General features: G+C 43.3%; 1 protein-coding gene across 2 annotated transcripts in view; it reads right to left on the bottom strand.

Annotated features, from left to right (window-relative positions):
• The window catches only part of NFX1 (nuclear transcription factor, X-box binding 1), an 80642-nt gene continuing 67657 nt past the window's right edge, over positions 851–13835 (bottom strand). For both annotated transcript variants that reach the window (NM_001318758.2, NM_002504.6), the window contains exons 20-24: positions 7900–7998; positions 7234–7300; positions 5234–5379; positions 4389–4493; positions 851–2102 (exon numbers count right to left, since the gene is read on the bottom strand). In NM_001318758.2, the coding sequence (NP_001305687.1) occupies positions 2030–2102; positions 4389–4493; positions 5234–5379; positions 7234–7300; positions 7900–7998 (490 nt within the window). In that variant the 3' untranslated portion in view covers positions 851–2029. The remainder of the gene's footprint in view (positions 2103–4388; positions 4494–5233; positions 5380–7233; positions 7301–7899; positions 7999–13835) is intronic.

Here is a 13835-nt window from a genome sequence, read left to right as displayed (position 1 = left end):
CTCTTTCCTCCTCCAAATGGCAGCCTACCATCTCAAGCCTCAGCTCAAATGCTTCCTCCCATTTCACTTTCCCACACGTGTCCTGCTCTGACCCCCAGAGCTAACCCATTTCTACCGCAACTTCACAAAATATTCCTCTTAGGACTCTTCAGCTTTTAATAACCGATTAACAACCTGTTGGTGGCAGACTAGCCAATTCCACTGAGAACATCTGTTCACGTGTGTCCTCCCTGGATTACTAAATGTACGAAACCAGGCTGCTTCCCACAGCCCTGGCACAAGGCTGGCACAGGGTAGGCATGCAAATATTCACCAGAAGAGGCCTGGTTAGCATTCCACACCTTCTACTTGGCTAGTATTATGGAGGAAGATGTGTACATATTTTCTAGATACTAAGTATCATTTTTATGAACTTTGAGGATCAGGTACCTCCACGTGTATTACTCCTTTAATCTTCATAACCCTAATGAGGTCAGTGAAACTTTCATCGCATCAAGCGGCAAATTATGTGGCACAGCTAGAATCTGAAGTCAGGTCTCCTGCCTTTTGCTGATTCTGAGATACTCTCACACGTACTATTCACCCACTGAACCCACTGCTTGAAAGAGGTAACAGATGCTCATGGGCTTCCTGTTGTGTGTGGGGCCACTGACCTGCACTACATGGGTCCAGAGAGAGGTGGTTTTGTTTTGTGTCACTTCCCTCCAGTCACCTGTTCCTGCTGCTGTACCTGATCCCTTTTGAAGCAGACTGGGTAAGGACCAAAGGACAGCCCTGCTACAGGAGGAGGAGGATTGAGGAAAAAAAATGAAAAGAAATAAAAAAATGAAAACACCAAAAGGCAGCCCTATAAAGTTAAATTTTATAATTTAATTAAGTGCTTGTTTTTGTCACTCTACTTCTCAAGTCTCCTGCTACTGCTCTGGGGCTCATGGCTTGCTCTAGGGCAGAAGGAAGTTGCTGGAAGCCTGGCCTCCAGGCTGGAGGGGTGCCAATGCAAGGGTCACACTAATGGAACTATCAATGCACCTGCCTTAAAGGAGCCTGAAGAATGCCTCCAGTGGGCTGCTGGGCATAAGCCCTGGACTGTCCATATACTACTTGGAATATTCAAACAGAGTCCAGAGCTCAGAGGCAGGGAGAGCCAATAGGCTGCTGAAGGCCTAGGGAAAGCAACACAGGACAGTTGTCCATTTGAGACTCTTTCTCTATCAAAGAGGAGTTAGGGATATACTGGTCAGTTCAGAGACCACAGTGTGACCCTGGCAGAAGAACTTGCTCTCTATATTTCCTACCATCATGGGGGACGGCCAAACTGATTGTTACTGAACAGGTTCAGTGATGTGGTATGAGAAGTGCCAGGGACTTAAGGAAATAGAATTCTGTAAAGCAGCCTGACCCCCTTCTAGGTCTAGAACTGATCACATTGAAAATGCCAAAATAAGTTCAGCTAGATATACCTATGAGAGGTTTTGGCAAAAGACTTAGGTATGATGGCTGGGTTTAAGATAACATGTGTGATTCCGGATATGGTATACCAATTCATTATTTGGTATTTCAGACTAAAAAATTCATTTGTGCTCCTAAAGATTTTGATCAGTTTGGGTAAAGCAAGCAATGTCTGTCTGATGTTTCAGGCATTTTCAGGAGGACAAATAACTGGGACAACTGAGGCTATGACTTAGTGGCATAAAGTTGGTTTCAGGCTAAAAGTTTGGTTTGTCCAAATAAAGCCCAATAGTCCCTCAACTCTCAGAGCAATCACAGTGATGGTGTAAAGAGCCTCTTTGAATGCGTGATTGCATACCTAGTGACCATACAATCAGAGATCTGGTCATAATGAAACACTTTATACAGACAGGAATAGACAAGGGATTTCTGACACACTCATGCTTTGGATGTGTCAGTACAAGACAGTATGTGAGACTGTGATTCTGCCAGGCAGAGGGGAACGGGCATGATTTATCTGCTGGCAAATAAGTCTCCACTATACCTAATCATTCTTTTATCTAAGTGCATCATGATCTTCTTAGTCCTGGACGTCAAAATAGTCAATTATTGGCTCCTTGGTTATTTTCTGTAAATTACTGCTCCCAGGATTCCTGAAAAACAAACAAAGAATGATCAGTCTTTTCTTCTTTGGGGGAAACAGATACAGGACTTCAGAAAGTTAAGGATCAGCTGATTTACCATTTGTGAATCTTAAACATTTATTTTATTTTTATTTTAGTCTTACTTTTTTTCCTTCTGCCCTTTGTGAGCAATTTTTTTAACTTTTGTGTTTCCTTCTAGATTTACATATTACATGGGGAATTTTATTCTGTGAGATAACAAATTCTCTATTTACACTTTACAGTTTAGAGGTAACCTTTCACAATCTATTTACAGGATTTCATATATGATGATGATTTTACTCTGCCTTCACAGTTCAATGAATGCTCAGTTAACAGCTTAAGCCAAGCGAGCATCTCACTTGTGAAGTTTTGATAGTGGGACAAACATGAGCTGGTGATTTTGAAATTTGGTAATGGGCACATGGGCATTTATGATAGTAATACTATTCTCTCTACTCTAAAACATTTCCATAATAGAGTTTTATACAAAAATAAAGCAAGCCAAGGGTTTTTAAAAAGATAGCATGGGATGGCCAGGTGTGGTGGCTCACGCCTGTAATCTCAGCACTTTGGGAGGCCAAGGCGGACGGATCACGAGGTCAGGAGATTGAGACCATCCTAACACATGGTGAAACCCCGTTTCTACTAAAAATACAAAAAATTAGCCGGGCGTGGTGGCAGGCGCCTGTAGTCCCAGCTACTCAGGAGGCTGAGGCAGGAGAATGGCATGAACCCGGGAGGCGGAGCTTGCAGTGAGCTGAGATCGCGCCACTGCACTCCAGCCTGGGCGGCAGAGCGAGACTCCATCTCAAAAAAAAAGAAAAAAAGAAAAAAGATAGCATGGGATAAACGGGCCAATAACTCCACATGGTTGTGTCTAAGCAGGACTGGACCCGACTCTGGCAGTTTCTGAGAAAACCCCTCATGTTTCCAAAGTGACCGCCCATATGGATTTGCAGACTGTGCTGACCAGAACCTAGGACACCTGGCTCCCAGGAGTGGAGAGGGGCTGGTCCTGGGGACCAGGACGCTCTTGGCTGAGTCTGAGCTCAATGGGCAACACCTAGCTGTCTTCTTGTCCAGTCCCACAGGAACACTAAGTGCTGTGACCTTCATGGTGACCTTGTGAACTGCCGTAACCACCCTTCAGAGGTTTTGTGCAGGAATCACAGAGGAGGTACTGCTAGGACTTGTCTGTGGAAAGCCAGAACAGGAGTAGGCACCCCTCTCCTTCTGGGCTTTGAAGTAACTTTTAGCCACACTGCCTTGGTTACACTAGGGCAGCAGAGAAGGAGCACCATCCTGCCTTCCCTTCCTCTCCCTGACAAGTGACAAACAACTGGGACAACTGGGGCTATGACCAAGTGCTCTAAAGTTGGTTTCAGCCCACAATTCTGGTTTCTCCAAATAAAGCCCAACAGTCACCCAACTCTCAGAGCTCCTTCCCTGCTCCTGTCTGAGAAAACATCTGGCAGACTTGCCCCTTGCCAACTTGGTTTTCTTTTCTCTTTAAATCATGAATATGTTTGTTATAAAAATTATTCAAACCATATAGAAGCAGACAGAGCAAAACAAGAAAGTACTATCCACCCCCGTCACCGGCAATTCTCACCCCCACACCCACTTGCATCTTCAGAGTAACTATTCTTTTTTTTTTGAGATGGAGTCTGTCTCTCTGTCGCCCAGGGTGGAGTGCAGTGGTGCGATCTCGGCTCACTGCAACCTCTGCCTCCAAGGTTCAAGTGATTCTCTTGCCTCAGTCTCCCAAGTAGCTGTGTTTACAGGTGCCCGCCACCACACCCGGCTACTTTTTTATATTTTTAGTAGAGATGGGTTTTCACCTTGTTGGCCAGGCTGGTCTCGAACTCCTGACCTTAAGTGATCCACCCGCCTTGGCCTCCCAAAGTGCTGGGATTACAGGCGTGAGCCACCGCGCCCGGCCCAGAGTAACTATTCCTAACTACACGATGTTTCAGTCTTAAACTATCTGGTATGACAGACTGAATCCACTTCCCAGTGTCACCATCTACACCATGGAAATTATGTCCAGTGACTGCTCTCTCTAGAATCAAGCACTACAAACAACAAACTTAGGACCCCTCTGGTGGGAACAAACGTGTCTGATACCCTAACTAAACATTACATATTTGAACATGGTACCCCAAGGCCAGGCCTGAGGAGGCCACCAATGGCTGGTGCAGCTCAGGACAATTCAGCCCCTGCTAGCTTTTCTGGACAGACAGGTCCCCTTGGAAAGCAGCTGGAGAATCTTACTTGTCTGACTGATGTCTGTGATGAGGAATCGGTGGTGGAGGCCGTGCCTGCATTTCCCTTTCAAGCACACCTGTCAGCGTGGTAGGAGGACAAACGGACTTCCCCCTGATAAAAGTCAAAACACCAAGCATTGAAAAGTGAGAATTGTTTGTGGAGATGGACAGAAAGCTAGAAACTCAGCCCTTGATTTTGGCACTATGACACTACTGAGCACTCTCTGGTATGAACTGTCTGCTCTCAGACATGGCCACCTGCATTTAACCCCCTGTCCCTTCCACCCACCTATGCCAGGCCCGTGGCTTGCTTCATGTCAGACTTGTTTTCTTCACTGGCAAGTTCTTCCTATTCCCAGGTTCTGAGAGTGATCCTAGGTCCTCCCTGTCCCCTCCTGGTCACATTATTGCTTCAGTTTCCTCTGATGGCAAAAACACCATTCACAGGGGATGCCTCGAACCAGAGTCCAGCATTCTTTCTGTTTTCCCCATGCCAAGAGGACAGAGCCAAGGAGAGGACAGACAGAGGAACAGGAGACAGAAGGAGAAAAGAGCAGATATGATGGGCAGGCCCCCTTGCCTGAAGAAATGCTGCTTCCAGCATCTGCTATGACTGTAGGCAGATGTGACACTTGTGCATTTTGAGTGCATCTGCCCTGTGGGTCGAGGCATAGGTTTTGCTCTTTGGCTCAGGCCTTTAGATTATCTGGGAAGTGCCAGAGAAGCAGATTTTCCTTCTACTTTTCCAAGAGGGAGAGTGGTAGTAAGAAAGACAAGTATTGACAGACCCTGCTTCTTGGGTCCAGTTTGCCCTGCTTAGGAGTTCTTCCTCTGACGGCGGGATTGACCTACCTGATGGCAGTGACCACCACATTGCGCTTCGGTTCACTGTCATAGCTCACGCTCTCCAGGCCATAAACTTGGGCCAAGTCATGGATGATCCGGCGGTGGTCTCTGTTCATGGGAGGGAAGCTGTGGCTTTTCTTACTATTCTTTCCCTGTATTGAGGGAAAAGATGACTGATTGATCATATCATTCTGAAAACAAAATGCTTACAACTAATCTTACCACACAAGAATTGCAGGGATCAATAAGAGGTGATTTTAGAGGCCCACAGCATAGAGCATTTTACTAACTGCCAAGCAAGCCTGGAGGGGTTTGGGAAGATGGGCACTGATGCACTTCTTTCACCTACTCTGTGAGCCACAACAGTCGCAGCTGGACAGGGTTAGGGACAAAGGGTAAGTGAACTGCGACTTAGGTAGACAGCATAATGGTTCTTCCTGATGGGTTCCATAACTGGGGAGTGGGTGATATTCCCCAAAAATGACTAAAGACTTACAAAACAAGAAAATATTATTTCCTTTAAAAGTATGTTCTACTTTAAAAATCGTGAGTATTCAGATACAGACACACAAGCAGAGAAACACATCTGTTGGGGTTTCTTAATTAGGAGAGGAATAATGCATTCCATTTTCTCCTTCATGTTAATATTCTGCTGGGAAGTGGTAACAGAAGGGAGGAAAGGAGGGGAATGGGAAGAGGGTAAGGAGACTGGGAAGGAAAACCACCAGCATTAGATACAGGGGCTAAAGCAACCATCTTGTCCTTACTCACCGTCCCCCCTGATGGAAGGGGGAGGAAGCCAATGCAGCGCTGGGGGCTTCTGACTAAACTCAAGACTTTTCCACTTAAAGCTACCTCCGTGACATCCCTGGCCGCCTCCAGGACAGGGGTCTCCCTCTTCTGAAGGAGTCTATCCCACTGCTCTCCAGCTGTAGTCATACAACTTTCATCCTTCCCAAAGGGGACATTCCTGCCTTTGGAATTATAAAGAACAGTGGGCTTTCCTAGCATACAATAGCCCTTCAAAGATCTGAGGGGCTAGAGTGTCTTCCTAAGTGTCCCACACAGTCACTCAACTATCACTATTGAGCCCCCTCACCCAGAGTTTCTTCATCCATTCTTAGGCACTTGGCCAGCATCTTTATTTTCTTTTTCTTTCTTTCTTTTTTATTGAGACAGGATCTCAAGCTGGAGATCCAAGCTGGAGTACAGTGACTCAACCTCAGCTTACTGCAGGCTTGACCTCCTGGGCTTAAGCAATCCTCCTGCCTCAGCCCCCTGAGTAGCTGGGATTATGGGTGTGCACCACCACACCTGGCTAATTTTTTATTTTTTGTAGAGACAGGGTTTTGCCACGTTGCCCAGGCTGGTCGTGAACTCCTGGACTCAAGTGATCCGCCTGCTGCCTCAGCCTCCCAAAGCGCTGGGATTACAGGTGTGAGCCACCGTGCCTGGCATTTACTTACAGCTGACTGCAGAGCTTTCTTTCTTTCTTTCTTTCTTTTTGAGACAGAGTTTCACTCTTGTTGCCCAGGCTGGAGTGCAGTGGCAGAATCTCAGCTCACAGCAACCTCTGCCTCCCGGGTTCAAGGAATTCTCCTGCCTAAGCCTTGCAAGTAGCTGGAATAACAGGTGCCCGCCACCACACCCAGCTAATTTTTATATTTTTAGTAGAGACAGGGTTTCGTCATGTTGGCCAAGCTGATCTAGAACTCCTGACCTCAAGTGATCTGCCTGCCTTGGCCTCCCAAAGTGCTGGCATTACAGGCATGAGACACTGTGCCCAGCCGACTGTAGATCTTTTCTGCAGTCAACTGTCCTGAACCAGGACAGGCTTCCACAGATGTTATAATGGCTGTGTTTTGAGAAAGATAAGGATCCTCAAAGAAGTTGTGACTTTTTCCTACAACTACTCTAGGTTGAAAGTGTTTCCAGGACTTGATTGCTTTTTTTTTTTCATCAAGCTGGCCTTAGAGAAATGTCCAGTGGGATGTTTCGACTTCAACCTTATTCACGGCCTCCACGAGGGTTTCCATTTCCTTCTCAACGTCACTGACAAACTTTAAGTCCTTCCTGAAATGAGAAATCACCAGTTAATTTTGTCTGTCCCTGCCCTTCTGAGAACCCCTTTCACCCATCCTCTCCCTGTAAAGCGTAGACAATAGACAATGCTGGCAGTAAAACTGCAGAGATCAGGAATTGTCAGAAAACAGAAGGATGACTGACGGAAGAACAAAAGAGAAAAATATAAGAAATGAGAAGATGAAAGGAGAAGTAGCCACTGAAAGGCCAGGGACTCCAGGAGAAAAATAAGAGCTGTTATAGCTCCAACTGAGAACGCATGTGAATGTGAGACTGGGGTGGACAGAAGTGGAATGAAGCCCAGAGATCCTCCAATTTAGTCTAGTCCAGCCCTTGGGAGGCCCAAACTCTTACCACCACCCCACCCAAACTCTTATCTCAACCCTACCCCAAGTTCAGTTCTTTAAGGGGACAGTTTCGAGAAACCAAGAGAAGGATATTTATTAAACAGCACATAATCTCTTACAATAGATAAACAAACAAACTTGAACTGGCTTAATCACAGGAGGAGTACATATTAGTTATGACATCTCAAAAGACCAAACACCCTGACAAGCCACAATTAAGAAAGCAGGTAACAAGTTACATACCTGGCATCTTCTTTCAAACTATCACTGAATTTTGACCCTGAAGAACGTATATTGAAAGGATCAGAATCCTCACTGATATGAAATGCCTCTGCTAATCTCCTGAAAGAGAGAGAGAGGTATGCAAATAAAAGGAGTGGGAGGGAAACTATCTTGCAGTAACCCCGAGTGCCTACTATATCCTAAATTCTTTACACATTATTTATCTCTATTTTGGTAAACTGGATTATTAAGGAGAGAATAACAACAACTTGGGACATGAGGTGGTATTGTCTTCATAAAAGAAAATAAACAGATCTATAAGGATCTGAGCAAGTCATAGGCTGAACACTGGGGACTTAGATTATTTGGGGAAGAGGAGTTTGGGGGTGTGGGATCACTGAGAATGGTCAATGGGGGATGACTTTCTCTGAGGCTTTGTTTAAAGATAAGGTACATAAAATAGACATACAAATGTTAAAATTAATATAGAAATCTGAAAAGTAAAGAATTCCATTAACATATACACTTCATTTTTATACATTTCTTGGCTGGGTGCGGTGGCTCACACCAGTAATCCTAGGACTCTGGGAGGCCAAGGTAGATGGATCACTTGAGGCCAGGAGTTCGAGACCAGCCTGGCCAATATGGTGAAACCCTGTCTCTACTAAAAATACAAAAATTAGCCGGGTGTGGTAGCACGTGCCTGTAATCCTAGCTGCTAGGAGGCTGAGGCATGAGAATCACTTGAACTCAGGAGAAAGAGGTTGCAGTGAACCGAGATTGTGCCACTACACTCCAGCCTGGGCAACACAGTGAGACTCTGTCTAAAAATAATAATAATAATAATAATAATAATAATAATAATACATTTCTTTATTATTTTATTTTTATTGACCCATTGTCATTGCTTCATATTTATGAAGCAGTTTGATGTTGATGTCTCGGTACATATATACTATGTTGTATAATGACCAAATCAGTGTATTAGGCATATCCATCACCTGATGCCCTTATTATTTCACTGTGGTGAGAATACACAGAAGCCTCTTTTCTAGCTATTTTGTAAAATACTACACCTTACCGTTAACCATCATCACCCCAGTGTGCCATAGAACACGAGAACTTAGGCTGGGTACGGTGGCTCACGCCTGTAATCCCAGCACTTTGGGAGGCCGAGGCGGGCGGATCACCTGAAGCTGGGAGCTCGAGACCAGCCTGACCAACATGGAGAAACCTCGTCTCTACTAAAAACACAAAAATTAGTCAGGTGTGGTTGTGCATGCCTGTAATCCCAGCTACTCAGGAGGCTGGGGCAGGAGAATCGCTTGAACCCGGGAGGCAGAGCTTGCAGTGAGCTGAGATAGCGCCATTGCACTACAGCCTGGGCAACAAGAGCAAAACTCCTTCTCAAAAAAAAAAAAAAAAAAAAAAAAAAAACCACAGGAACTTATTACTACCATCTATTTGTAACTTTATATCCACTGACCAACCTCTCCTCAACCTCCCTTTTCCACCCTGTCCCTCTTCTCAGTCAGACAACACTGGTCTACTCTCTGCTTCTGTATTATTTTTTAAATATTCTACATATGAGTGAGATCGTGTGGTGTCTGTCTTTCTGTGTCTGGCTTATTTCACTTAACATGATGTCCTCCAGGTCCATCCATGTTGTTGCAAATGACAGGGTTTCATTTTTTTTATGGCCGAATAGTATTTCATTCTGTATATATACCCCATTTTCTTTATCCATGCAGCCATGTTGGCCACTTCAGTTGATTTCATATCTTGGCTATTGTAAATAGTGCTGCAACAAATATGAGAGTACAGGTATCTCTACAGATTTTATTTCCTCTGTAGAGATACCAAGTAATAGGATTGCTGGATCATATGGTAGTTCTATTTTTAATGTGAGGAAATTCCATACTGTTTTCCATAGTGGCTGTACTAATTTACAATCCCACCAAGAATGTGTAAGTGTTCCCTTTTTTCTAATTGTTTTTTTTTTTTTTTTGAGGCTGGGTCTGGCTCTTGTTGCCCAGGCTGGAGTGCAGTGGCATGATCTCAGCTCACTGTAACTTCCACCTCCTGGGCTTAAGCCATCCTCCTACCTCAACCTCTCCAGTAGCTGGCACTACAAGTGTGCCACCATGCCCGGCTAATTTTTGTATTTTTTGTAGAGACAGGGTTTTGCTATGTCGCCCAGGCTGGTCTTGAACTCCTGAGCTCAAGTGATCCGCTGGCCTCAGCCACCCAAATGCTGGGATTATGGGGATGAGCCGCTGTAACGGGCCCCTTTTTTCACTATAACGTTTCTCTCTATGTGTATATATATATATTTTTGGAGATGGAGTCTTGCTCTTGTCGCCCAGGCTGCTCTTGTCGCCCAGGCTGGAGTACAATAGCATGATCTCGGTTCACTGCAACCTCCACCTCCTGGATTCAAGCGATTCTCCTGCCTCAGCCTCCCGAGTAGCTGGGATTACAGGCGCCCGCAACCATGCCCAGCTAATTTTTGTATCTTTAGTAGAGATGGGGTTTCACCATGTTGGCCAGGCTGGTCTTGAACTCCTGACCTCAGGTGATCCACCCGCCTCGACCTCCCAAAGTGCTGGGATTACGGGTGTGAGCCACTGCGCCCAGCCTTTCTCTATAATTTTAAGTACCGCCATTATTATATTCAAAATTGTCTCACCCCCCCAAAAATAAGAATGTGAGGTAATGCATATGCTAATTAGCTTGATTTAGCCATTCCACAATGTATACATACACATCATGCTGTATTACCATAAATATATACCATTTTTATTTAATAAAAAAATTTTAAAAATTAAAAAAACCTTGTTTCTTTGCCTCTCAGCATTATCTTGTTAGCATTTCTCATATTATTATTTTGTTTTCACACTTAACTGTCTTCATGGCTCATAGTCTTCTAATTATGTTCCCATATTTTAATCATTTCCCATTTAGGTTTCTTTAACAGTTCCTCAGTTTCTCAATATTATATACGACACAATTAATATCTCTGTGCAAAAAGCTTTGAAAATGTTTCCAGTTGTGGGGTACATGGAGTGGACATAAGACTCTTGATCAATGTGGAGTAAGTGGTCTCCAGAAATGCCACTTAGTGCCCTAGCCATCAGTGTCTGAATCTCATGGCATCTCACCAACATTCAAGTTATTTTATTTTTTTAAAGCTAGATTTCAGCTTAGCACTTAGTACAATTTTCATTTACACTGCACCAAGAGTCACTTACAAGCTTAGTGCCCACAAGAATCTGGTTCACACTGCTAGATTTCCAATTTTTCAAAAGACACTTACTTTTCAAATTTTCAAGAGAATTTCTAGGGGAAGATCTTTTGATGTTTTGGTTAGTTGGCCACTAATTCAAATTTAAACACCAATAAAACCTGTCTGTGGGCTGAATTTGGCCTGCTAGGTTTTTATTTCTACAATAGAGATATACACACATACATATATATACACACAGGTGTATGCGTGTATATATGTGTGTGTATATATAGATATAACTTTAGATGGACTTTTCTTTAAATTTGCATTTTTTTCTCTTAGGTTTGTGTGTATTTATGAAAGACTCTATCCAGTAAGGGTCATTATGTCATCACCAAGATTGAGGAGAAATTCAAAAGGCTTTCAAAAATAGCTAGTTTTAATCAATAACATTTACTGAGTACCTACTATGTGCCAAGCTCTTGTGCCAAGAGCTTTATGAGTATCATTTTTAATGTATTAATCCTCACAACAACTCTGGAAGGTAAATACTGTTATTGTCATCATTTCTAGATTTTTAAGAAACCTAAGGCTTACAGACAATATGTGACTTGCCCAAGGTCTCATAGCTAAGTGATTTGTGAAGCCAGGATTCAAATCCAGACAATCTGACTCCAGAGCTCTGGCTCTAACTAGTATACAATATGTCTTTCAACCACCAAAAGTACATTTCCATGTTTGGAGACCTTCTGTGTATTCACTATAGCATTTCTGAATACCTAGGACTCCTAATTTACATTCTGCAGCTGAGAACACTGACTGACGGTTCCTAAAGGGCAAGGGTTTTGAACGGCACTCACTAGAAAGTTATTATAAGGGTCAAACCAAGGAAAATTTGGACAGCACTACTAGTCATCATATTACCTTCTACACACTTAATATGTAAAGAGGTACTATTAAAATTGCTGAAAGTCAAACTTCAAGGTAAAATAGGGCTATACTTTGTCTGCATTTGTCTAACTTTTTATCTTAAACAAATTTCAAAGACAAGTTATGAGAATATTACCATAAACTTCTATATAACCTTCACCTAAATTCTCCAATTATTAACAATTTGCAGGGCTATTCAATTTAATCAATCTTTGCTAGAATCAGAAAGTTTGTCAGTTGTTGAATAAATGCCTCTTGATCTGATAGAGTATCCTCAAATAACTTACTGCAGACATCATATTTAATGGTGAAATACTTAAAGTTTTCCCCATGAGATGGAGGATTAGTCAGGAACATCTATTTTTTTTTTTTGGTGAGACTGAGTCTTGCTGTATCGTCTAGGCTAGAGTGTGGTGGCGCCATCTCGGCTCACTGCACCCTCTGCCTCCCAGGTTCAAGCAATTCTCTTGCCTTAGCCTCCTGAGTAGCTGGGACTACAGGCGTCTGCCACCATGCCCGGCTAATTTTTGTATTTTTAGTAGAGACAGGGTTTCACCATGTTGACCAGGCTGGTCTCGAACTCTTGACCTCAAGTGATCCGCCCGCCTCAGTCTCCCAAAGTGCTGGGATTACAGGCGTGAGCCACCGCGCCCGGCCAAGGAATATCTATTATTACCACCCTCCATTCAACAATATACTGAAGGCCCTAACCAATACAATGAGGTAAGAAGAAGAAATAAAAGTTAAGAATTGGAAAGAAGGAAAAAAGATAAAAGAAAAAAGAAAGGAAAAAAATAACAGGAATTGACAATAAATAAAATTACTATTATTAGAAGACATGACTGTGTATATACAAAATCCAAAATAATCTACAATATCAGAAATAAGTGAATTTAGCGAGGTTGCTAAATAAGTCAATAATTATCAATTGTATTTCTAAATACCAGCAACAAGCAATTAGAAAATACCAATTTAGGCCGGGTGTGGTGGCTCACGCCTGTAAACCCAGCACTTTGGAAGGCTGAGGCAGGAGGATTGCTTGAGCCCAGGAATGTGAGACCAGCCTGGCCAACATAGCGAGATGCCATCTCTACCAAAAAAAAAACAAAAAAATTAGCTGGGTGTGGTACAAAAAAATGTAAAAATTAGCTGGGTGTGGTGGCATGCACTTGCAGTTCCAGCTACTTGGGAGGTGAGGTGGGAGGATCACTTGAACCCAGGAGGTAGAGGCTGCAGTGAGCTGTAATTGTGCCATTGCACTCCAGCCTGGGAGACAGAGTGAGACTCTGTATCAAAAAAAAAAAAAAAAAAAAAAAAAAAAAAAAATCAAGCCATTCACAGAATTTTTTTGCCTTATCTGTGATATATTTTTATGCCTGCTGAAGCACATAAATATCTTCTGTAACACATTTCTAAAATGAGCATTTGCTTTAAAATGAAGTCCTTGTAATTTGCATTTTTTTTTGAGGATGTCAACCTGGTCAAAAACAAAATAAACAAAACACTTGTCACATTAAATAATAATAATAATTTAAAAAAAATTAAAAGTTGGCCAGGCGCAGTGGCTCATGCCTGTAATCCCAGCACTCTGGGAGGCTGAGGCGGGCAGATCATAAGGTCAGGAGATTGAGACTGTCCTGGCTAACATGGTGAAACACCATCTCTACTAAAAATACAAAAAATTAGCCGGGTGTAGTGGTGGGCACCTGCAGTCCCAGCTACTTGGGACGCTGAGGCAGGAGAATGGCGTGAACCCGGGAGGTGGAGCTTGCAGTGAGCCGAGATCACACCATTGCACTCC

The sequence above is a fragment of the Homo sapiens genome, chromosome 9, assembly GCF_000001405.40.
Source record: "Homo sapiens chromosome 9, GRCh38.p14 Primary Assembly".
Lineage (NCBI taxonomy): Eukaryota > Metazoa > Chordata > Mammalia > Primates > Hominidae > Homo > Homo sapiens.
This window is presented reverse-complemented; position numbering and strand designations above follow the sequence as displayed.